The sequence below is a fragment of the Homo sapiens genome, chromosome 22 (genome assembly GCF_000001405.40).
Source record: "Homo sapiens chromosome 22, GRCh38.p14 Primary Assembly".
In the NCBI taxonomy this organism is placed as follows: Eukaryota; Metazoa; Chordata; class Mammalia; order Primates; family Hominidae; genus Homo; species Homo sapiens.
The window spans coordinates 39607521-39632377 of NC_000022.11; the positions used below are offsets into that span (position 1 = coordinate 39607521).

At 55.5% G+C, this 24857-nt stretch overlaps 1 protein-coding gene across 2 annotated transcripts in view, besides 5 other annotated features; it reads left to right on the forward strand.

Annotated features, from left to right (window-relative positions):
* Positions 1 to 24857, forward strand: part of CACNA1I (calcium voltage-gated channel subunit alpha1 I) — a 118983-nt gene that overhangs the window by 36768 nt on the left and 57358 nt on the right. For both annotated transcript variants that reach the window (NM_021096.4, NM_001003406.2), the window contains exon 4: positions 11790 to 11887. In NM_021096.4, coding sequence (NP_066919.2) covers positions 11790 to 11887 — 98 coding nt within the window. The remainder of the gene's footprint in view (positions 1 to 11789; positions 11888 to 24857) is intronic.
* Positions 15456 to 15555: an enhancer, noted in NCBI's record as "active region_19071". NCBI's record gives its function as "activates an Ori minimal core promoter by ATAC-STARR-seq in GM12878 lymphoblastoid cells {active_cell/tissue: GM12878}" and the evidence as "EXISTENCE:reporter gene assay evidence [ECO:0000049][PMID:35858748]".
* Positions 15586 to 15695: an enhancer, noted in NCBI's record as "active region_19072". NCBI's record gives its function as "activates an Ori minimal core promoter by ATAC-STARR-seq in GM12878 lymphoblastoid cells {active_cell/tissue: GM12878}" and the evidence as "EXISTENCE:reporter gene assay evidence [ECO:0000049][PMID:35858748]".
* Positions 18684 to 18978: an enhancer, noted in NCBI's record as "tiled region #12417; K562 Activating DNase matched - State 5:Enh". NCBI's record gives its function as "activates a minimal TATA promoter and a strong SV40 promoter by Sharpr-MPRA in K562 cells {active_cell/tissue: K562}" and the evidence as "EXISTENCE:reporter gene assay evidence [ECO:0000049][PMID:27701403]".
* Positions 19402 to 19951: an enhancer, noted in NCBI's record as "H3K4me1 hESC enhancer chr22:40022927-40023476 (GRCh37/hg19 assembly coordinates)". NCBI's record gives its function as "activates a minimal SCP1, AML or CMV promoter by ChIP-STARR-seq in primed H9 embryonic stem cells {active_cell/tissue: H9 hESC(primed)}" and the evidence as "EXISTENCE:reporter gene assay evidence [ECO:0000049][PMID:30033119]".
* Positions 19952 to 20500: an enhancer, noted in NCBI's record as "H3K4me1 hESC enhancer chr22:40023477-40024025 (GRCh37/hg19 assembly coordinates)". NCBI's record gives its function as "activates a minimal SCP1, AML or CMV promoter by ChIP-STARR-seq in naive H9 embryonic stem cells {active_cell/tissue: H9 hESC(naive)}" and the evidence as "EXISTENCE:reporter gene assay evidence [ECO:0000049][PMID:30033119]".

Below are 24857 nucleotides of genomic sequence, written 5' to 3' on the forward strand. Positions count from 1 at the left end.
AGCCTCTAATCAGGAGGACTGAAAGGTACAGGTCATGATTCCCAGTCTGGGAACCGCAGGAAGGGGAAGAGAGATAGGGAGGGCTCCATCTCTGCATCTGTGTCCAGGATTTGAATAATTTTCATGACAGGTAGAAGTACTTTGTGAACAGAACAGTGGGAACTCTATGTAAGAAGTTCTGTGATTGGCCAGGCACTGTGGCTCATGCCTATAATCCCAGCACTTTGGGAGGCTGAGGCAGGCAGATCACCTGAGGTCAGGAGTTTGAGACCAGCCTGGCAAACATGATGAAACCCCATGTCTACTAAAAATACAAAAATTAGTCCGGGTGCGGTGGCTCACACCTGTAATCCCAGCACTTTGGGGTGCCAAGGCGGGGGGGGGTCACCTGAGGTCAGGAGTTCGAGACCAACATGGTGAAACCCTGTCTCTACTAAAAATACAAAAAAATTAGCTGGGCGTGGTGGCAGACACCTGTAATCCCAGCGGGAGGCTGAGGCAGGAGAACTGCTTGAACCCAGGAGGCGGAGGTTGCCATGAGCCCAGATCGTGCCACTGCACTCCAGCCTGGGCAATGAGAGTGAAACTCCATCTCCAAAAAAAAAAAAAAAAAAAAAATACAAATACAAATTCAAAAATTAGCCAGGCGCAGTGGCGCACACCTGTAGTCCCAGCTGTTTGGGCGGCAGGAGAATAGCTTGAACCGGGTGGTAGAGAGGTTGCAGTGAGCCAAGATTGCACTCCTACACTCCAGCCTGGGAGACAGAGTCTCAGTCTCTAAAAAAGAACTTCTGTGATCACCCAGTCCAGTGGTGTGTGTCAATTGTTCCAGCTACTCAGGAGGCTGAGGTGGGAGGATATCTTGAGCCCAGGAGTTAGAGATCGGTCTGGGCAACATAGCGAGAGCCCATTTCTTTAAAACATTTTTTAAAAAAGAATTTCTATGATCATTAATAGTATTAATAAAGTAATATTAGTAACTTAGCACCTTGGCTAGAGGGTGAGAAGGAGAGGCTGGGTTAGGACTTGTATCCTGGGCTGAGTGCAGTGGCTCTTGCCTGTAATCCCAGCACTTTGGCAGGCCGAGGTGGATGGATCGCTTGAGCTCAGAAGGTTGAGACCAGCCTGGGCAACATGGTGAAACCACAGCTAAAAAAAAAAAAAATGTGTGTGTCTGTAGTCCCAGCTACTCAGGAGGCTGAGGTGGGAGGATTGCTTGAGGCTGGGAGGCGGAGGTTGCAGTGAGCCAAGATTGCGCCACTACACTGCAGCCTGGGTGACAGAGTGAGATCCTGTCTCAAAAAAAAAGAAAAGAGAAAAAAAAAATTTATTGTACCCTGGAAACATGGTCTCTGGAATGCTGGGAACAGCTTCTCCACCCTGACTCTTACAGACTCTTGGGAAACAAAAAGCCACTAAGAATTGTTCCTCAGCTCTGGGCTAGGGCTTTCTAGAAAGATCAGGCAGGTATGTCCCTGCTGAGGTTGCTGGCTGAGAGTTCCTTTTTTCCAAAGTGCCCCATCAGTGGGACTTCAAAAGGCAAAGGTAATTTAATTCTCTGATGCCTCCAGGAGTGTGATAAGAATAAGGACGCTGACTGCTGAGTGCTCACACCGTGCATCATCCTGTTGAATGGTCAGACAAGCCCTGTGAGGGCTGTGGTCAGTTCCACCTCACAGATGAGGCAGTGACAGGAGTAACTTGCCTGAGGTCACAGGCTGGTAAGGGGCAGAGTCAGGAGTTGAACCCAGGGAGCTTAGCTCCACCAGCTCCACCAGGATTGGGTCCTGGTTCAGTGTGACTGCTGGGTGTATTTGTCAGGGATGCATTTGGCTGCAAGTAATAGAAAACCCAACCAACTGTGGCTCAGGCAAATCCTGAATCCGTGTTTTTCTGACATAACACAAAGTTCTGGTTACTGGTGATAGTTCTGCAGTGTGGGGGCTGACATCCTTGTGATTTTCCAGGCCTTTCTTTCATGGTCACAAGGCAGCCGGTGAAGCCGTGGGTGTCATGTCTGAATTAAAGACAGGAAAGAAGGGTGAAGAGTGACAGGGCATGTCCACTTGGATCAGGAAAATGAGATTTTCTTTCCGGGATCCTTCCCTTCCCTAGTGCATTTGGCCAGAACTGGGTCTGATGGACACCTGAGTGGCAGCAAGGCTAGGAAAGCAGAAAGCATCATTGAACTTGGCTAAATCAAACAAGAGTTGTTCCTTGGGTTCAGGCAAGATCACAAGAGAGAGAACGCCCATCATGGGGGCACTCCGAGTCAGCCACATTCCTCTCCTTGAGCCTCAGTTTCTTCACCCACCCTCTGCCAAAGCCGTGGCTCTACCATGTCTCCAAGCCCTGGTTAGAGCTTCTGGAGCTCTGCCTGTGCTGACTGGGCAGGGGCAGGGCTCTGTTGAGATCTCTAACGTCAATACCAACCTAGGCAAGCTCCACAGAGCCCAGTGCCTGTCAGCAGATCCTGCTGTGGTCATGGGAATCAGAAGGCAATCACTTGGATGCCCAGAAGCCTTTGGAGCTGGCCTTCCTGCACAACTCTGTGTGCACTATTGGTGGGTAAGGGAAGCCCTCCGAATGTCTTGAAGCCCAGGGGACCCTTCTGGTTTTGTCATTGACTTTACACTCTGATCTATCCTGGACTTACAGGTCTGTCTGCCCTGCGGCTGTGGATGCTCAGATGCACTGGGTGCTCTGAGGGCAGGACCAAGGCTAGTCATCATCCTGAAGTCCCCAGAGCCGTGGAGGCATCATTACATGTTTGTTTCCTGTCTGTTGCACCCAGGCACGAAAGAGCTGGGGAGAGGATATCTGGAGCCATTTTCTTTAAGCTGAGCTGCCGTTGGGTGGGCGTGGACTGGGGAAGGTTCCAATAGGAACCTTAGTGTGTTTTTCTCATTTGCATATGGGATGGGATGGGAGAGAGGGTGATGGTCACTGTGGAGGCTCGTTTCCATGGAAACAGGATGGTAGCTGCCATGTGTGATGTTGGGGGAAGTCACCAGAGATTCTCTGGCCACAGGCTGAGGTGCCTGACACGGGTCAATCATGAATCGGGAAGGACTATCTCTGTTACGTGGGACAGAAACCCTGAATCTGGTTTAAGGGAGTCAACTGTTTCCTCTACTGAAAAGCCAAGAGGTCTCCAGCTTCAGGGCCCGCTTGCTCTAGAATCCTGAAAGATGTCTCTAGATGGTGTGTGCTCCTATCCCACAGCTCTGCTAGTCTGTGCTGACTTCCCTCCCTGGAGCTTTCACGGTGGCAGGGTGGTGGCAGGCAGCTCGGGGCTCAGTGCCGACTCCCTCCAGTTCAGACACACCTTTCCTTTCCTAGCAGTTCCAATCAGTCCTGGGAACTGAGCCTCTTTGGCCTGGATTGGCTGGTGTGGGGCATGTGCTCATCCCTAAGCCAATCACTGAGGGTAGGGTGGGCAGAGCTCCTATAGGCCAGACGGAGGTGAAGGCTCACCCCTGGCAGGATGTGTCAGCTGTGCCCCTATCACGTGGCTGAGGGTGGGGAGGCTGGTCAGGGAGGCTGGAAAGGGATGCTGGACAGGGAGGATCCCAGGCCAGGCCTTGTTACTCCTGGAGTTCACAAGGGCGCCCTGGCTGGTGGAAACCAAGCCGTTTAGGTGGCCTACCATGAACTATCATTAACTGACTGAGTTGGGCTTTTTTACACCCATGATGGTGTTACATCCTGACAATCCCCAGAAATTAGTATTGTTAACACCATTTTGCAGATGAGAAAATGGAGTGTCAGAGAGATTGGTAGCCTGCCTCAGGACACACTCAGCCTTTATGGATCAGATCTGGGATTGCTCAGGTCTGGCTGCCCCCAGGGCTCGTGCTCACCCATGACATGAAGGGGTTGTACATTTCCAGAGGCTGAAATATAAGCCGTTGATTTGCCTCACTAGCCCTCAGAAAGCAGTGAGGTGAGTCCCCTGAGAGGAACATTTCCCCCAGGCTCTGGTTAGAGCCAAAAGCATCTCTGCACCACACAGAGCCCACTCTCTGGTTCCCAGCAGCCATTCTCACCTGCCGTGCTGCCAAGACTACTCTGGAGTAATGGAGCTAAGTTTCACGGGAGGCAGACATCATGAGGCATACACTAAAATTATTCATTGTTTATCTGAAGCTCAGATTTAACTGGGAAGCTTCTATTTATCTGGCAACTCTACCCAGAAATAAACCACTGGAGTAAAGTAACCCAAATGGAGGCTTGGAGAGAGAAGGTCCAGGTCTTCTGCCACTGAGGTTCCCAGAGCTGCCCTGGTTCCCACCTGCCTGGGTTCTGTCTTTGCAGCCCATCCCTCAGCTTTGTGGCCAACCCAGCATTCTTCCCCCAAATCCCCCCTGTACTCTGAGCTTGGCCTGAGTTGGTTTCAGAGCGTCAGTCAACTGGGCTTAATAACCTCTGTTCTTTGGCCTCATAGGTTTGTGTGAGGAACTGCGAGTGTTGCTGTTGTTTGAATGTGTCTCCCATAGTTCATGTGTTGGCAACCTAATGCCAAGTGCAACAGAGTTGAGAGGTGGGACCTTTAAGAAGTGACCAGGTCATGAGGACTCAGCCCTCGTGGATGGATTAATGCCATTATTGTGGGAGTGGGATGGTTATCGTGGGAGTGGGTTCCTGATGAGAGGGATGAGTTTGGCCCCTTCCCTGTCTCACACACACTTTCTTGCCCTTCTGCCACGTGATGACACAGCAAGAAAGTCCTCGCCAGATGCAGCTCCTTGATGTTGGACTTCCCAGCCTCCAGAATCGTAAACCAAATTAATTTCTTTTTTAAAAATAAATCATCCAGTCTTTCTGCTTCTGTTATAGCAGCAGAAAATGGACTAAGACAGGTATCTTAGTCTGTTTGGGGTGCTCTAACAAAATACCATAAACCGGGTGCCTCATAAACAACAGAAATCTAGTTCTCACAGTTCTGGAGGTTGGGAAGTCCAAGATCAAGGTGCTGGCAGATTCAATGTCTGGTGGGGGCCACTTCCTCATAGATGAGTCTTCTCATTGAGTCCTCACTTGAGTCCTCACGTGAAGGGGCAGATGAGTTTCCCTTTGCCTGTTTTAAAAAGGTGCTAATCTCATTCTTGAGGGCCCTGCCTTCATGATCTAATCACCTCCCCAAAGGCCCTAATACCATCACCTTGGGGGATAGAATTTCAATGTATGAATTTTAAGTGGATATAAATATTCAGACCATAGCAATGGGTGAAATGACCCATAAATCATGAGGTGCTGGCCACAGTCAAGGGTTAATGTCATTACTCCCAAATCCTCTCTATTATTTCCTTCCTCCTTCTCTCCCTCCTTCCCTCCATCCCTCCACAGAACACCTACTGTGTGCTAGGTCCCCGGATATTGGCAATGGCTGGTGGTCTAGTTACCAACCAACACAAGCCTGAGTCATCACAGAGCTGCCTCCTGACAGATGATCTGTGATTTCCAGCATCTCAGCTTCCCTTCCATTAGCTACATCTTAAATCACATTTTAAGAAAGCCCCCGTGGGCCCCTTGTGAAGATTGAGGAAACACCCTATTTTTATCAGCCACACACAGAAATCATCTCCTGGGCGGGGTATTTCCTGGAAAGATGTTAAATCTCAGTCATTTCTTGTGGCTTCTTGTCAGCTCCAAGCTTTTTTTTTCTTTCTTCTTTTTTTCTGATCTTGTCCCTCAAATTATTTGTTTGACAAACTCACACAGGGAATCCACCTCTAAGTCAGAACCTGGGCTGGGCACTGGGGACCCAGCAGGGGCTCTGAGCCAACCCCTGCTCTGAGGAACAGGGACAGGTGCCCAGAGGTGCCCTCATAGAGGATCAGTGGGACACCAGGCAGAAGAGCTCATCTCTGCCTGGGGGTGGGGTCTGGAGAGGGCCTCATGTGATTCGTGGGCGCGTGTGAGCTGAGGTAACAGTTGAGGCTGCGATACAATAATAGCTCACATTTCTTGGCTGTTCCTTGTGTGAGGCCCTGTTCTGAGTACTGGATCTGTATATGAACATGTTTCAGGTCAGTGACTTGCCCAAAGTCACATGGGACACAAGCAGCGAGCTGGGATTGGAACCCAGCTCTGTACTCTGACCATCGGGTAGCACTGCCTTGGAGGATGCTGGCCCTGGTCCTAGTGCTGTGGTGGGCGCTGTGCCTTCCACCTACCTGGTCAGCAGAGGGTAACGCTCCCGAGCCGGAGGCGCTGGCCTGCTCCGGCCTTGCCGGTGACTGATGCAGTGGGAGAGGGGGCAGGTCACACAGAGCTCCTGGGTCCCTTGGTACCTGTCTGTGGGACATGGATCCCTTCTTTTTTTTTTTTTGAGACAGAGTTTTGTTCTTGTCACCCAGGCTGGAGTGCAGTGGCGCAATCTCAGCTCACTGCAACCTCCGCCTCCTGGGTTCAAGCGATTCTCTTCCCTCAGCCTCTTGAGTAGCTGGGATTACAGGCGTGCGCCACCATGCCCAGCTAATTTTTTTTTATTTTTGTATTTTTAGTAGAGACAGGGTTTTGCCATGTTAGCCAGGCTGGTCTTGAACTCGTGACTTCAGGTGATCCACCTGCCTTGGCCTCCCAAAGTACTGGGCTTACAGGCATGAGCCACCATGCTGGGCCTGACATGGGCCCCTTCTGTCTCAGTTTCTTCATCTGCAGTGGGTGCTGTAATCCAGCTGAGAGAGGAGTACTTGAGGGAAGGGGTATGAAGCTTGCGGCAGGTAGCGAGTGCTCAGATAACCTTTCTAAACCAACCGGGACCCTGAGTTCCAGTTGACAGAAACACAGTACAAGCAGGACCTAGAACCCAAAAGGAAGGCACTGGCTCAAGTAACCGGGGAGAGCAGAGGGTAGGTCAGGGATCTGGGCTCAGCTGGAGGGAGGTCCTCCAAGCATGTGGTCAGGAGCCCGCCTCTCTCCAGCTCTTGCTTCAGCCTTCCTTTGTGTTGGCAAAATTCTCAGGCCACCACAGAGCCAAGGTGGCCTCCGGGTTTGCAGGCTGCTGCTTAGCCAGGGAGAAGGGCTCTTCCCTGCAGTCCTGGCTTAAGGGCTGGGCTGCCTTTGTGGCTCACCTGGGATCACGTGCCTATCCTGAACCAACCATGGTGGCCCAGCTGGGGGCATGGGATCCTCTGGTGGACCAGGCCTGGGTCTCTGGACCTCTGCTAGGAGCCAGGAGCCAGGGAGGGAGGCTCTTCAAGGAATAAGGTCGGAGTAGAGGGTGCTGGGAAGAAATGGTGTCCACCCTCCCTGCCCTCCTTTGCATGGCCCCTCTACCAGTCTGACCACACGGGAGCCCCTCTCCCCAGAAGACAGCCACCTCCTCCTGGGGCGACTTCAGGATGGAAGTGCTCTCTTTAAAGCAACATTACTTACCTAATTAAGCGCTTAGGAGCTGGCAGGAGGTAGTGGGGAGGTTTTGTTGATTTCTTTTTTAGACTTTTAGCACTGAAGTTGCGTGAGAAAGTAACTGTGTAATTAGGAATTAATTTCTCACTCCTGTAAGCGATGTCTTATTTGGGGCCTGAGGGGAGTCAGCCCACAAGGCGGCCCTTCCTTACCTTCTCTTTTTGGAATGTGGGCAGGAAGTCCCAGCTGTCTTGGCTGTCACTGGGGTGGAAAGAGGAGAAGGGGAGGGAGATAGCTTCCTCCATCCCAGGTGGCCCTCAGCAAAAATTGAGACGTGGTGCTTATGCCTGACATGGCACCTAGGGTGAGCAGACACTCGGGGGAGATGGACGGAGGCCACATTATGGAGACCCTTGAAGGTCTCTTTGTTCTGAAGGCAATGGGGAGTCACTGAGGGTTTTAAGTGGGAGTGACACAGCTAGGTCTGAGTTTAGGAGATTTCTGCTGACTGAGGAAGGGCTGTAGGGGAGGAAGCAAGGGGCAGGAGGGCAATTGGGAGGCTTGTGCCACTGTCGGGACAGAGGGAGGGTGATCCGGGCTAGGACAGGGAGAGTGGAACTGTCAGCAAGCTATCCCAGGTTGGGCCAATTGGTGCATTGAGTCATTGTCAAGACAGTGAGGTTCCCAGGACACAGACTTAAACCCACAATTCCTCCCTCCCAACTAAGTGCTCTTCCCTCTTCCCTCCTCTCTCCCCATCCTTGTCCTGTGTCCTCCTTTCTATCCTCTTCTGCTCAGAGAAGAATGAGAACTACACGATTCTTCACTGTGCAGCTACTATGTTTCTTCTTCACTGAATGCATTTATATGCTCTTATTCCCCCAGGCAGGAGATGCGGCCACCGCAGAATACCCGCAAATGGTTCATGAAGTGGAGAAGTGAGAGTTAGGACCCAGGAGAAACATTTAAGCAAATGGATTCCCTGGAAGGATCTACAGTGTCAAGATCTTTCATGCTGCTAAGAACTCAGTAATATCACATTTCCTTTTTTGACTTGGTTGCCAGGAAGCTCAGAGCTAAGATCTTGACACCAGATTCTACAGGAACGTTTTCTTGGGGGAGCTTTTCACCGGGGTCTGAGGGCTGCACCTGGTGGATTCTCAGGGGAATTTGGGGAATGTTTGCCGCAGACATAGACTGCAGGTGTGTTCCCGTGCTGAAGACCCAGAGGGTCATGTATGGCGTGAAGGAAAGGGGCTGGGCCAATGTGTTGCTCCAGGCCTGCCCTATTTGGACCAGCTCAGAGTGTTTGGGAGCTTCAAATGCACTGCCAGGCAGCGGCTGTTTCTGTTCCCCTCCAAGATGGGGGCGGATGGCGGGGAGGTTGCCCAAGTCTGTAGCCGAGAGCACACGTGTCTGATCAGCCTCCTGTGGCAAGGCTGGGGTCTGGGAGGTGTTCAGATCCTAAAGTTACTAACTGGGTCATCGTGGGCCCCCCCTTTGACATCCAGTCACAACTTGTATCTCATTGAGGACCCTGGGATCAGTCTCTTCCTGCCACCCCTTGTTGTAGAGAAACACAAAGTGTAAGAAAACACTCTTTGTCGGCTGGGCACGGTGGCTCACGCCTGTAATCCCAGCACTTTGGGAGGCCAAAGTGGGTGGATCATCTGAGGTTGGGAGTTCGAGACCAGCCTGACCAACATGGAGAAACTCCATCTCTACTAAAAATACAAAATTAGCTGGGCATGGTGGTGCATGCCTGTAATCCCAGCTACTCAGGAGGCTGAGGCAGGAGAATCGCTTGAACCCGGGAGGCGTAGGTTGTGGTGAGCTAAGATAGTGCCATTGCACTCCAGCCTGGGCAACAAGAGTGAAACTCTGTCTCAAAAAAAAAAAAAAAAAAAAAAAGAAAAGAAAAAGAAAACACTCTTTGTCATCAAGGGGCTGAGTTGTGCACGAGGGCAGTCTTGTCCCCCAGCCTATCCTGGGGCAGGGGCCATGGTTGGTGTCCTCACTTAACTGAGAGCCAATAGTCCTAGACTGGGTGGGGAAGGTGGAGCCTGGTGGCCGTGTAGGGGAGGGGAGTTAGGGACCAGCAGGGGGTTGTCCCAAGGGCTCCCTCAATGAGCCAGTCATGGATGTGGCTTGCTCTGGTCCGGGGTGGAATGGAGGGAGGCTGTGGCAGGAGAGAATAATGGGCCCGCGCTCAAATGAGTGGAGATTGAAATGGGTTCCCACAGGTAAAGAGAACAGTGCCCGGCACCCAGTAGGGTCTCAAACAGCCTTGCTTTTCTGTCTACCCATCCATCTTTCAGGCATCTGTTTATTTTCATGGCGAGGCTTCATGGGGACGGGAACAAGTCCTTGATGAGCGCCTGCCAGAGCTGGGCAGGTGTGCCCTCTGGGCTCTGGGAAGGCAGCACGTGGGTGGGTTCAGTCTGGTGTGGGCTGGGAGCCCCCATCTCCAGCTCACCCAGCAAAGCATGAACTGAGCCTGAGGGGGTTCCCAGCTCTCCCTAGGGACTGACTCCCCCCACCCCGCCCCCCACAGGATCTGGAGAACCAAGGCAGGAGAAAGAGAGGCTGCGTCTGTGGGGGTGGGGCATGGTGGGGAGGGCTGGCTGGAGCTGGGCCTGGCTGCCTGCGATGGGACTCGGCAGTCCTGGGCCCCGCGGGTGCCAGCGCCTGTTTGTGTGCCTGTGTGTGCCACCCCCGCAGCCCCTCCATCACACGTGTCTCCCGGCTGCCTGGAGAGCTCTTTCTACAAAATGTGAAAATGACAGTTGGGCTCACCCACGCGCAGAATCCTCATGCAGTCCCGCTCCCTCGCTGCCCCTTCCAGGTCACCATCGGCCCTCACCCTCTCTGCCTAGCTGCTGCCCCCCGCCCACCGCACCCCTCCTTTCCCGGCCCCTCCCCCAACCCCCTCTTCCCTCCTCCTGCTCCTTCCCTTGGCCCCCTCCTCCCTCCCTGCTCTCTGCCAGCTCCCCCCTCCCTCTTTCCTCCCTCCCCCTCAGGTCCCCAAGGTCTCTGTCTCTAGCTCTAGGTCTCTGTCACTTTTTTGGGTCACTCCCCCTCATCTGAATTTATGCTTGAGTAGGAGTGTGCATGTATGAGGATGTCCAAGAAGGGAGTGAGTGTGTGTGTGCAGGTGTGCAGTTGTGTGTGTATTTGTGCTTGTGTATGCGGGTGTGTGGTTGTTTGCATGTGTGTGACTCTGTGTGCAGGTGTGTGACTGGGTGTGTGGGTATGTGGTTGTGTGTATGTGTGACTTTTTTTGGAGGTGTGTGACTGTGTGTGTGGGTATGTGGTTGTGTACGTGTGTGTGACTGTGATGGTGTGTGACTGTGTGCAGGTGTGTGGTTGTGTGCCTGTGTGTGTGTGTGCAAGTGTGTGACTGTGTGTGTGACTGTGTGTGCAGGTGTGTGATTATGTGCGTGTGTGTGATTGTGCAGGTGTGTGTTTGTGGGTGTGTGGTTGTGTGCGTGTGTGACTGTGTGCATGGGTGTGACTGTGGGTGTGTGGTTGTGTGCATGTACGTGACTCTGTGTATGCAGGTGTGTGACTGTGCGTGTGTGCACACAGGTATGGAAGTGTGTGTGCATGCGCTCCAGCGGGTGGGGGATGGATGGTGGTGGCATTTCAGGGAACGAATGGAGCTTTCACTCAATGACTCTTCAAGCAGCGGGAGGGGGTGGCAGCTTCACAACAGTCGGACAGGTTTGTGCAGCATGTAGGAAAAGCCTTCATTTCCTACTGACAGTGGTGACATGGGTGGTGACAGGTGGAGCTGGCAGCAGTGCTGAAGTCCTGGGGTGGGAGGTGCCAGGGGAAGGGTCTGGTGATGGGGGGCAGGGGGGGTCATCCTGGAAATGCAGGCCGGGCCCATCTCCCAGTCGCCCTCAAATGAGGTTTGCTGTGCTTCCACCGTGAAGGGACCTCAGAGGTCTGCCTCTTGAGGGAGATCTGGGAAGACTTCCTGAAGGAGGCAAACTGCCTCCAAAGAGCTGCAGGGCTAGTTGAGCATGGAAGGGATGTGGGGTGTGGAGCCGTTTGGTGCAGGAGATGTTCCTCCCACTTTCAGAGGCTGCTGTGGAAGCTGGGGCTGACATGGGCCACGGGCCAGGAGGATGCGCTGGGGCAGGAGCCACCTGGCACAGCGCTGGGCACACAGTGGGAGCCCAACATCTGTGCTCCCTTCATGCTCTAAGCCCTTGCCCACATCTGTCACCGGCGCCATTTACAGAGGAGGAGACAAGGGCCACCAACCCCAGGCCACATGTTGGCCAGGTGTAGCTGGAGATCCGACTGCTGTCTTTACTTGCCCTGTCCAGGCAGTAGTGCGCAGGTGGCTGGAGAATGCTGTGGCCCGGGCCCTGGCCCCAGCTGGCCTCCAGCACCATCCCTCACTCTCTCTCCTTTCTCTGCAGGATGGTCGAGTACTCCCTGGACCTTCAGAACATCAACCTGTCAGCCATCCGCACCGTGCGCGTCCTGAGGCCCCTCAAAGCCATCAACCGCGTGCCCAGTGAGTCAGCCCCGCCCTGTCCACACATTCCTGGCTGATCCATCCCTGGCCAACCCATCCCTGGCCTACCTAGCCAATGCCCACCCCCCCACCCTGCTTCGTTCACTTGGAGAAGACTGATTAGGGCCCGGGTGTGCTCAGGGATCCTGCGGTGTCTATCTAGACAGATGTGCCCTGCTCCCATAGAGCTCATGGGCCTGAAGACACTGGCAGGTGGTCCCAATGCTTCTGAGTCCCAGGAGAGTCTGGAGAGCATGCTGGGGAGTCTGGCTTTTCAGGGACGAAGAGTTTATGGGAGAGTGGTCTTCATAGGATGTCAAGGCAAGCACCCATAGGAAAAGAAGTTGCTTAGTTTGAAGGAGGACGTCGTAGAGCATTTCACTGGGGCAATGAAACCTGACTCCCTCACTTGTGCTGACTGACTTAGAAGTCGAGCTCTGTCATTCACCCACCACAGATCGATGTACCTACTCACCCATATGCCTAGCCACCGGTTCATCCATCCACCCGTCCACCTATCCACCTGTCCATCCATCCATCCATCCGTCCGTCCGTCCATCCATCCATCCATCCATCCATCTACCTGTCCACCCATCCACCTGTCTATCCATCCATCCATCCATCCATCCATCCATCCATCCATCCACCCACCCACCCATCCACCCACCCACCTGTCCACCCACCCACCTGTCCATCCATCTACCTGTCCACCCATCCACCTGTCCATCCATCCACCCACCCATCCATCCACCCACCCATCCATCCATCCATCCACTCATCCATCCATTCACCCACCCGTCCATCCATCTACCTGTCCACCCATCCACCTGTCCATCCATCCATCCATCCATCCATCCATCCATCCATCCATACGTACATACATACATCTGCTCATCTTTCTAGCCATCTTTCCATTTGTCCATTCATTCATCTGTATAGTCAGCCAGACATCCACCTGTCCATCCACTCATCCACCCATCCACCTGTCCATCCATCCATCTGTCCACCCACACATCCATCCACCTGCCCACCCACCTAGTATTAAGAGAGGTTATCTTGCAACCATAAGCCCTGTAGAGTTTTCATGTCCATGACCTGTTTTGAGCCTTACAGTCATTCTGAGGGAGGTGAGCTGTTGCCATTTTACAGATGAAAAAACTAAGACTTGGAGACACGAGGTTACCTGCCCAGGGACGCACTGCCAGTGAGTAGCAAAGGCTGGAGTCAGTTAGGTCTTCTGACTCCTCACTGCTCTCTTCTAGGAATGGGGTGAAGACTGGGGAAAGAGAGGATGAGGGCCCTGCCTGCCTTCCTGGTTTTTTTTTGTTGTTGTTGTTTGTTTGTTTGTTTGTTTGTTTTTTTTGAGACACAGCCCGTAGCTCTGTTGCCCAGACTGGAGTCCAGTGGTGTGAACTTGGCTCACTGCAACTTCTGCCTCCCAGGTTCAAGCAATTCTCCTCCTGTCTCACCCTCATGAGTAGCTGGGACTACAGGCATGTGCCACCATGCCTGGCTAATTTTTGTATTTTTAGTAGGGATGAGGTTTCACCATATTGGTCAGGCTGGTCTCGAACTCCTGACCTCAGGTGATCCACCCACCTTGGCTTCCCAAAGTGCTAGGATTACAGGCATGAGCCACTGCACCTGGCTGCCTGGGGCTTTTATACGCATTTACCCACTTCCTATGGTCCAGGAACTTGACATCTGATGGCTCAACAACCTGTGGGAGGCTCAGAGAAGTTAAGTGACTCACACAAAGTCACACAGCAATTCAGCGGCAGAGCTGGAATCTGAACAGAGTTCTGTCTGTCCTCAGCCCAGTTTATTTCCTGGCTGTGTCTGACCCCTTGCTTCTCTTCCCTGCCTGAGCTTCTGTTTCCCCATCTGCCAAAGAGTACAGGTCTCCTGGCACCTGCTCCCCCTCCACAGGTAGTGCTGTCCCCATTCCTTTATTCCTAGCCCTGGGGCCTTGGGGCTCTGTCACCCACCCCACCCAGCCAACCTCTGTGGTCCATCCATCCTGAGCGCCCTGTGGGGCTGGCCTGACCCCGGGCTTGCAGAATGCATCAGTCAGTCTGGGCAGGCCTGGCGGGGCAGGAGAGGCCATGCTTCAGAATATCTGTGGAGCAAGGTGACCAGGAGGGTGGCAGAGCTTTCTGAGCCTGGAGGGTGGCCCAATCCTGCTTTGTTCTGAGAGGGACTGGCTTGGCTTGGGTAGGGCACAGAGGGGGCCTGGGGGCTGGGGTCTCAAGGTCACAATACGATAGAAAACGCTGGGGGTCCTCAGTGCTACTGTGAGGGTCTTGGGGAAGGGTTTGGGAGGCGAGGTAGGGCAAGTGAGTAGTGGGAACCAAAGCTGTGCGGGAGGGGGAGGGGGAGTTCAGCTCTACCAGCCTGGCCCCTTCCCACTGCCCTAGGGAGACCCCCTTGGGCACAGGGAGGGGACATGCGGAGAGGCCATTTTAGGGCCAGCTTCTCTCTGTCCTCATCCCCTCCAATCCCAGAGGGCTCCTTGAAGATCACCTAGTTCAAAACCATCTTTCCCACATTTAACAAATGAGGAAACTAAGGTCCAGAGAGGGTCGTGGCTAGTCCAGGGTCACACAGCAATTCAGTGTGACCAAACAGCAGTTCAGGAAGGACCAAGCCAAACCAGCACACCTTCCCCAACAGTGTGTGATTTTCTCCCATGTGCCCCACCTGACTTTACTGGGAAATGAGCCAAAAGGTGGCCTCCGTACACTCAGCACCCAGAACTCTGCCTGGCGGACAGAAGGCGCGCCAAAGACACGTGTGAAATGGACACAGCAGGTGTACTGAGCTGTGTACTGTGCCAGGACCACAGAGCTATACATGCTCCTGTGCCGGGCATGAGGAGGCAGGGAGAATGGGGCTGGGGGTCGGGAGGCCTCCGGGAGAAGGGGATGTCTGAGTTGAGACCCAGGGGAGGATGGGGATTGAGTAGGTGGAGGGGGAGGGCTGGGCGGCAGTAGCGGGGGTTCAGGGAGTGTAAAGGGCTTGGGGAGGGAGCTGCAGGAGCTGGGGGTTACAGGCTGGGTGGACCAAGGGGTGGGGCATGAGGCTGGAGAGGACAGGGCCTGGGCATGGACCATGTGCCTGAGGGCAGTGGGAGCATAGGAAGAGGTTAGCAAGTGGTTGCTTTAGAAACACCCCTGGCCAGAGTGCGGTGTGGGGGGGGCGGTGGGGGGGGCAGTGGGGGTGAGCTGGACATGGGACTGCTCCTGGAACAGGTGTGAGCGAATGGCCGGTACTGGGCAGGGGTGGGGGTGGGATGCAGAGCAGCAAGTGGGTGGGAGAGGGACTGCTGGGCCCAGTCCAGGTCCTCCTTGAGTGTCTGGTGTGGGCACCTGGGTGGGCGGGAGGGACCTCAGCTCTCAGGGGCCAGCACAGAGGGCCACGTCGCTCCTGGCTCCCACCCACAGTGCTGCTTGTTTCTGTCCTGGGGGACGGCGGGGGCTGCCCTCAGCAGGCAGCTGCCATGGGACCATGGTCACACTCCAGGCCACGGAGCCCACAGGCACCGCCACCTTCCAGAGGTGTGTGCACGTTGCAGAGGGTCGCACACAAGGGATGTTTGTACGTGATCTTGATCTGAACCTCTTGTCCGGTCTAGGGTCTGCCCAGCAGGGGGCAGCACTGTGATGGGACCGCTGAGGCTGCAGGCGGGCTTAGGGGCATGGGACGGGACACGGGCGGAGGCCTCGCTCTTGCCAGGCGGGCTTCTCTACATCTGTGTGAGGGTGTGTGTGGGTGTGAGGGTGTGTGTGGGTGTGAGGGTGTGTGTCCACCAGAGAACACGTGTGAGGACGTGTGTGCACGAGTGTGTGTGCAATGAAGGGTGTGCACAGGTGAGTATGTGCCTGTGAGGTGCGTGTGCACATGTAAGTACATGGGAGAGTGTGTGTGCATGTGACAATGTGTGCATCTGAGGATGTGTGTGCACAAGTGAGCAAATGTGAAAGCCTGCACACGTGAATGGGCACATGTAAGGGTGTGTACATGTGAGAGTGCGTGCCTATGAAAGTGTGTGTGTTGTGAGGGTGTGTGCTGTGTCTGCCTGGGAGGGTGTCTGTGTATGCCTATGAATATGTTCATGCCTGAGCATATGTGTGCTTGTGTGTGTGTGCCTGTGAGGGTGTGTGTGCCTGTGAGAGTGTTTGCTGTGATGTGTGTGTGCCTGTGAGGGTGTGTGTGCCTGTGTGTGTGTGTGCCTGTGTGTGTATGTGTGCTGCGAGGGGGTATGCCTGTGAGGGGTGTGTGGCTGTGAGGGTGTGTGTGCTGTGAGGAGGTGTGTTATGAAAGTATGCGTGCCTGTGAACATGCGTGTGTCTATGAGCCTATGTGTGCCTGTGGGGGTGTGTATGTCTGTGAAAGGGTGTGTACGTGTCAAGAGTGTGTGTGTGCCTCTGAGCGTGTGTGCGTCCATAAAGGGGTGTGCCTGTGAGGGTGTGTGTGTGTGAAGTGTGTGTGTGCGCCTGTGAGGGTGTATGTGTGACGTGTTTGTGTGTGTGCCTGTGAGGGTGTGTGTGAAAGGGTGTGTATGTGTCAAGGGTGTGTGTGCGCCTCTGAACGTGCGTGTGTCCATGAAGGGGTGTGCCTGTGAGGGTATGTGTGTGAAGTGCATGTGTGTGCCTGTGAGGGTGTGTTTGTGAGAGCGCGTGTGTGAAGAGTGTGTATGTCTCTGTGAGGGTGTGTGTATGAAGAGTGTGTGTGTAGCGAGCATGTGTGTGCCTGTGAGGGTGTGTGTGTGTGAAGAGCGTGCGTGCGCCTTGCACGTGTGTGTGGGCGCCTGTGCCTCTCCCTCCAGGTCCTCTTTGCTCCTCCTGGTTCCTCTCCTGCTGTGTGGGGAGTTCATTAAGCTGCTCCCCGGAGGTGGAGGACACTCCCGGTCCCCAGCACCAGCCTGCCCTGGCCTCTGGGAAGGCAGGGATTGACCCTGTGCCCAACATCCCCCTGCGCTCCAATTACAGAGGAGCTCCGAGCGGGCTCCGAGCCTTTCCTCAGGGTCTCCTCCTGCTAGTGGCCACCGCTGGGCAGTTGGGGGAGTGTCGGCTTCCCGCCCCTGAGCCTGATTCCGCTTCTCAGAGGACAGCCTGGTTCTCTCAGAACCAGCACTGGGGAGTTACTGGGAGCACTGGCCCTCCAGCAGCTGGTGTTCCCCTGGAAGGGCCCTGCAGATACTCACAGGCGATTCTGCGGGAGCCGCAGGCTGTTGGAGCACGTGGGGCTTAAAGTCCATTGGTCTAACCCTCATTTCGCGGGACAGACAGTTTTGTCCTCAGGTGCCAGGTCCCCTGCCCAGAGCCACCAGGGGATTAGTGACTTGAGGTGGGGAAGGGGTGGCTCAGGCTCTCAGAAGTGCTTCCTAGAGAGATTTCATAGTTGCCTGGTTTTTTTATTTTCTTTTTTTTAAAATATGATTTTCCTGCAGACATTTCTCCTACTTATGGTTTGAGCTGCTTCTGCCCTGGGACACAGTCTTTTTTTTTTTTTTTTTTGAGACAGCATCTAGCCCTGTCACCCAGGCTGGAGTGCAGTGGCATGATCTTGGCTCACTGCAACCTCCACCTCCCGGTTCAAGAGATTCTCCTGCCTCAGTCTCCCGAGTAGCTGGGATTACAGGTGCCCACCACCACGTCCAGCTAATTTTTGTATTTTTAGTAGAGACGGGGTTTCACTGTGTTGGCCAGGCTGGTCTCCAACTCCTGACCTTGTGATCCACCCGTCTCGGTCTCCCAAAGTGCTGGGATTACAAGCGTGAGCCACCGTGCCCAGCCGGGACACAGTCTTTTCAACAGTAGCCCGTAGCTTTTAGTCTCATTTCTAGAGGGCAAGCTAGAGAGCTGGTGATGGGCGCAGTCAAATGACGGGTTATTAATTGCAAAGCCATGAGGAGTGGGCTGGTTGCCTGCGGTTTAAAAATACAGCAAAGGCTGCAAAGCTCCAGCATGAACAACCAGGAAGATGCAAGTGTGGGTCAGAGAATAAAAGTTCTGGTCTTAGCTCTGCCATATGCCTGCTGTGTGACCTGAGAAGTCCCTTGGCATCTCTGGGCCTCGGTTTCCCTACTCGTACAAACAAAGCAGGAGGATAAACTGGATTAAATACGTGGCTCTCAACTTTGTCCAGGATGAGCGGGGGACATGGACATCATGGTGCTGCTTACAGAATCGTATAAAATACATGTCTCTCCACCCCACCCCTGCAGGTCCTTGTTCAGGCCACTCAGCCTCTGATGGATAAAGAGAGGAAGACAGCAGAGAGGTGGTTGGGGAGGGAGGAAGGAAGCGCCAAATTAGGAGTTGGGAGTCTGGGTTCTGGTTCCTCTCTGTGTGACCTTTCCTAAGTCACCGCCTCTCTCTGGGCCTTGGCAAGATGGGGCTGAATTATCTCTAAATGTGCCCCCGCCCCACCCCACCCCCAGCCTGTACATCTCTCAAGGCACTGCCTTGCTTCCTTAAGCATACTGCCTGAGTCATTTACATATGAAAAGTGCTGTTTTCTCCAGTAAGAAACGAGGGCAGTCACTGCCAAGGCCTGGCCAGAGAGGTGATAGTTCCCCCGACCCAGGCTGTGGCGCAGGGGCGAGGCAGACCCTGGGGAGCTCAGGGGCAGCCCTGAGCCCGAGCTCACAGTCCCTGACAATGCTGTGGGGAAGGCTGCCATCCCCTCGGCTGCACAACCAGCTGGAGGTTTGCTCTGTGCTGTCAGGCCAGGTTCTGGTCCCAGGGCCTCCACCCACTGGCTGTGGGACCCTGAGTAAGCCACGTGCCTCTCCGTGCCTCTATTTCCCCAGCTCTCAAGAGAAGTTAATAATACCCATGTCCATCTGGTTAGGAAGGCTGAAATGCCACCGTGGGTGTAGAGAGCTGCGTGCACAGCCTCGTGTGCCTACGCGATCCGCAGGTGCTGCTGCTAGATAAGGTGCTGGGAGTAGTGAGGGTGGACGTAGAGTGTCAGGGACGTCTTCTCAGGGGCTGGTTTTGGAAGACACTCATCAGCTGAGGGTTGGAGAGGGTGTGCCTGGCAGATAGATTGGCATGTGCAAAGGTGGAGTGGAGGTGTCATCCTGGGCTGGGCATCGTGTGGGTGGGCAGGGGACTGCGTGGCGGGAAAAGGAGAGGGTTGTTCACATCTTCTAGGGAGTTAATTATAATCATAAGTGGCTAAAGTTTTTTTTTTTCTTTGAGACGGAGTCTTGCTCTGTTGCCAGGCTGGAGTGCAGTGGCGTGATCTCGGCTCACTGCAACCTCCGCCTCCTGGGTTCAAGCGATTCTCCTGCCTCAGCCTCCTGAGTAGCTGGGACTACAGGCGTGTGCCACCACACCCAGCTAATTTTTGTATTTTTAGTAGAGACGGGGTTTCACCATGTTGGCCAGGATGGTCTTGATCTCTGGACCTTGAGATCCGCCTGATAAGTGGCTAAAGTTTATCAAGTGCTTGTGACAAGCTCATCACAGTGCTTTACATGGGCAGTGTCATTTCATCTTCACTACAGCTTTAGGAAGTTAGTGGCATTGTGACACCTACTTTCTAGATGGGGAAGCAGGCAGAGGGGTTGACTAGTCTGCCCAAGACCACACAGCTGGCTGGGGACAGAGCTAGGGTTTGAACCCGTGTTCACCTGACCCTACAGCTTTTCACTCTGTGTCAGTATCTCCTTTCCGTTCTTTTAGCGTGTAGGCGCCAGACACCCACTCCCGTCCCCAGTGTCTGCAGGACATCAGGAAACACCCCTGCCCACTTCCAGGGTCAAAGGAGAGAGGTCCCGTGGGCTGCAGTGACACCTCGAGGCCCTCTCTCCTTCCATCTCCCCCCTCAGCCTGGTCTGCTCCAGACCTCTGAGTGCCTTTCACTGTTGGGGTGCACAGGTCTCGTGGTGCTGATCCCCTTTCGGGCTGAAGCCACGAGGCAGGCGGGGGGCCAGGGCAGAGGAGGGAGAGCATCAGCCGCACAGTCTGCAGGATCCTGTGCAGACGCCCCTGTGGACAGCGCCCCGAACGGCACACACATCTCTGAAAGGGGGCCGGGCAGGATGGCACTGTGGTTAGTGCACAGCGGGTGCCAACCCTCACGCCCCAGGCCAAGCCCTTTCCTGCCCAGGTGCCTGCCCAACCAGGGTCATGGTCAGGCCAGCCCTGCTGAAGAGGGGCGAGGAAGGCCTCAGGATTCCTTCTTGGAAGGGCCTTGGGGGGCATTTGTTGGACAGTTCTGAGAGATGCACCTTGAAATAGTTGGCGTGGAAGTGTCGGCATTTTCGCCTGAAGCATGTGTTTACTCTCGGCTTGGGGAGAGCAGAAGGAAAGCTACTGGGCTGTCAGCCCCCACCAGGCCACACCTTGGACTTCAGGGCTGTCTGTTTTAGGCACCCACAAGGGGCTCCCACTTCATCCTGAGGGAGAAAGGCCTGACAGCCCCCATGGGGAAGGAAGAGAGGGAAGGAGGGAGAGAAATGGGGAGATGAAATGAGGGGGGCCAGTTTCCCCAGGGCTGCTCCCTTCCTGGAAGAGGTGGGGCTGGGTGGGTGGGAGAACATCTGGCCAGAGCATCTGGCGAGCGCTGGATTTGGGAACAGGAAAGAGCAGCCTGGACCCTGCAGGGAGAAGTGCTTGGGGGTGGGGCAGGGCAAAGGCAGTGCCTCCCTCTCCCCCTCCCTCAGGTCGAGTTCTGCATTCTGTTCTACAAATCCGGAGGGAGGGAGTGTCCTGGACAGGCCACCAGATCAAAGGACTGGGCCACTGTGTGGATTAACTGACTCATGGATCGATTCCATCATTCATCCAAAGTAAAATCCACCGGGGGTTCTCTGGGCGAGACCCTGGCCAGATGTGGGGCCAAGATCAGGCACAGCCCCTTCCCCAAAGGCTGACAGCTGCAGGCCAGTGGGACGCCTGATCTGATCGGGGCAGGGGCTGATGGGAAAGGGTGCCTACCTGGTCTAGGAGGAGGCTTCCCAGAGGAGGGGGTGGTAGGACACTTGAAGGATGCCTAGGAGTGGTTTGGGGCACAGCAGGTGGGGGGACCTTCAGTGAGACAGCCGGGCCAGCCCCCGAGGGTGTGAGCGCAGCCAGCTCTGGGAGGGACCTGAGGCCTCTCCTGGGATGGGGGAAGTGAGCTGCTGGCTGGCTGAGGTTGGCTTCCTTTCTCAGCAGTGGGCACCAAGGCCCTCCACCAGCCCACAGGCCCCTCCCTGGCTGGGCCTTGGGCCGGCAGCTGTGACCCCGGCAAGCTGGCTGTCTGCTGCCTGGCCAGGCCTCTTGGTGCCCACTGTGCTCCTGATTAGTTGGCGCCGGCAATGGCAGGAGCAGCAGACGGCCTCTCCCAGCCGCCCAGCCCCTTTACTGACCTGGCCAGTCCAGGGAGAGTGGCCCCCAGTGGCCAGGCCACAGCCTCGGCTCCCCTCGCCCCGACTCCACTCTTCTGGGCCACGGGCTGTGCCCTGGCAGAGGCTGGCACGCGTCTGGCAATTTCTACTTGAGCTGGCCTGGCTGGACTGATCTGGGCTGACAGCTCCCCTCTGCCAAGAACACCCCAAACCTCCAGGGGTGATGCCTGTCAGGAAGTGCTTCCTGTTCTTCCTGCCACCTCCTCTCAGGTGTCCCCACTGCCACTGAGGGGCTGCCTCTGCCTGGCTGCTGCCCAGGTTCTCTCAAGCAGAGGCTCTAGCCTAGGGGTCCCCAAAAAGGGTGAGCAGCTCCATCCACTTGCCCGCTGCCATCTGCCACCACCAAGCCCCTAGCTTTCAGTGCTGTCTAGAGACCGTCCTCACCCTGGTGCTCCACATGACGCTCCCGGGCCAGACTGTTCTCCCCTGAACTCCAGACCCCAAGATCTGGCAAAGCGACTCCATGGGGATGTACCCCGGCCATCCCAAGCTCCACATCTCCAGATGGAGCCCCACCCCCGCTGAAGGCCGCTCTGTGGCTCCAGGCCCCAAACCTTGGAGTCGTCCCCAACTGCCCTCTTCCTCCTACATCCATATCCCATCCCTCTGCTTGGCCTCCAAAATACCTCCAGAATCCACCATGTTCCCCACTCCACTGCCATCATTATCTGGGCCCAGCCCCACCATCTTCCGGTTTATCACAATGATGAATGTATGACGGCCAGGCAGGGCCAGGCAGGACGGAGAGGAGCAGGGGGACGGAAGGCCCAATCATCAGGCCGTGAGGGTGGTGGAGAGGGCCCAGTGTCTGGCCTGGGCCATCTCAACAGTGAGGGCACAGAGCAGGGAACCACAGCTCTCCTGGGCCCCACACTCAGCGCTCCGGTTTCTGTCCCACGTGAGACCCCCGGGAGGCAGCGACCACACAGCTGTGGAGCCCACAGGCCTGACCCCCTTTCAGAGATGTGTATGCCGTTCGGGGCGCTGTCCACAGGGGCGTCTGCACAGGATCCTGCAGACTGTGCGGCTGATGCTCTCTCTCCTCTGCCCTGGCCCCCCGCGATCCATTCTCCACCCAGCAGCCCAGCAATCCTCTCACCCCTTCCCCAGATCACGTCTCCCTTCTGCTCCATGACCCTTTGGAGAAGCTCAAGTCTTCCAGCCCCCTGGCCCTGTCTCCTCCCCAGCCTCATCCCTGCTCAGCTTCCCCCCAGCCGCATGGTCTCCTTGCTGTGGCTGTGGCTGTGCTTGACTCCCTCCCGCCTCTAGGCCTTTGTCCAGGCTGCCTCCGACTTGAGGGCTGTCCCCCAGACAGCGACAGCCCCTCAGCTGACTCTGCCACCCCTTCCCTGTCTCTGCTCAGCATCATCCTGCCTTTCCTGGCCCCCTATTTAATGTTCACCCGACCCCAGGCCAAACCCCCAACCCTTTCTCCCTTCTCTGTTTTGTTTTCATAGCACTTTTCACCCAACGAACGAGGACGTGACCTTGTGTATCACCCATGTGGTTTATTTATTATTTATTTATTGCCTGCTTTTCCCTACCGTACCTGGGATGTGAGCCTCACGAGGACAGGGAACTCTGTTTTGGTTTTTCACAACTCATGTATCCCTAGAGCCTAGCACAGTGCCCGGCACGGAGCCAGCCCTCATTCAGTACTTGCTGAGTGGCTCCATTCACTCGCCCACCGCTCCTTTACTCATTCAAGCTGTCGGCCTTCAAGGGACTGCTTTGTGCCCGGTCCTGGTCTGGATGGGAGAACACAGAGCAGCCGCCTTGGCCTTGGGCGCAGAGCATGCCTGGTTTCCAGCGGGGAGGAGGAGGCAGAGCCGGGAACTGGCACAGGCTATGATGGAGGGCGGGTGGGCAGCAGTAACTCATGGCAGAGACACCAGACAAGGCGACCGCTCAGCTGAGATCCCCAAAAAGGAGGTGAGGGATGGCCCTCCAAGCATGTGCAAGGGCACGGAGGCAGCCCCGAAAGTGGGCTTTCCAGCACTGGAAGTGGATCTTTCTGGCTGGGTGCAGCACAGCAGTTCCGGGATCCTATGGCAGGGTGGAGGAGGTGTCGTGGGTGGGGGCAGAGTGTGTGCAGGGCTGGGGAGTGGGGATGCTGGGAGCTGCCAGTCAGGCTGGTGCCGCAGGTTCAGGTGTGGCAGGGAGGATGGAGGGAGGTGGGGCCAGACTCGGGAGGAGTCTGTGAGCAGGGGCCAGGAAGGTGGGGGATAAGGATTTGCACTTTCCCATGGGGCGTATGGGCTGTTGGAGGCTTCTGACTTCAGGGAATCTTCCGTCAGAGGTGTCCTGGCCCCGTGGTATTCCTGAAGGGCTGGCTGGACAGGAGCCACTGTCCCCTCTGTAGATGAGGCCACTGGGGCCCAGAGAAGGCAAGCTTTGCCTCAAGGCCACCCTACTGGGACTGGGACCAGATCTCATGTCCTGGGTCTGTGCTCTGGGCGCTCACCGGGCTGGGGGCTGCATCAGGTGTCCTGAGGACTCCAGGGTCCTCTTCCCCTTTTTAGCTGGGGAGCCAGGGCCCTCAATCACACTCATGGGGCTGCCTGTAGCCTGTCCCCATCATGGCCCATCTGGCTCTTGCTCCAGGCAGAAGGCCTGAAAAGGTGCACTAAGAACACAGAACCAGGTAAGCCCATCCTGACAGTGACTGAGCGCCTTGGGGCAATGAGAGGCAGGAGGGCTTCGTGACTAACTGGGGGTGAGAATCAGGGAGGACTGCCTGGAGGAGGAGGGTTTGGCCGGGGGAAGGTGTGGTGGGAGATGAAGTAGAAAGGATGGTTTGAGGCAGATGGTGACTTGCAGGCAGCCTCTCCGCTCTTTCTCTCTGTCTTCTGTCTCTCTTTCTGTCACTCCTGGTTTCACTTTCTCCTCTGTCTGCTTTTCTCTCTTCTCTCCTTGCCTCCACCTCCTGTGCCAGTCTCCAGAGGCACTGAGGGCAGAGTGTAACTGGCCAACCTGTCTTGGCTAATTACTTGACTGTGGGCATGAAAGGAAGATTAGCCATAGTCTCTTGGGGTCCTCCCTGAATCCCTAATCCTGTGGCCCCTCTTCCCTGGCAAGGAAGGGATAAAGTAGTTCTAAGTCCTTAATTAGCTAATTATGCCAGGGCTCTGTGGCCCTGGGACTCCCTGGGCCCCAGGGAGGGCTGTGAAGTGCGCTGGGGCCCAGCTGGGCAGAGTGAGGCGGGTCGGGGAGGAGGGACGGGGCTGCCATTCAGGGAAGCCAGCCGGATAGGTTTGCAGGAGCCTTTTGGAATTTCAATATCCCAGAGAACAAGGGAGATGTAATTAATTGAGCGACAAAGGCCGGCCCGAGGGAGAAGCAGGAGCGGGAATGAAGCAGCCAGGCTGGGACCGTGTGGAGCTGCCTTCTCCAGGCCCTTCTCATCCAGCCTCTTCTCCAGCTGCTACCGGCCCTCTGTGCTTGCCTCCTGCCCCTGTCCTGGCCTCGGGGCTCGCCCATTCTTTTTTGAAGCTCAGAGCTGATCGAGGGTTCTGCTTGCTTAGAAATATGCCAGCAGACCTCCTTGCCCAGCCACCCAGCACA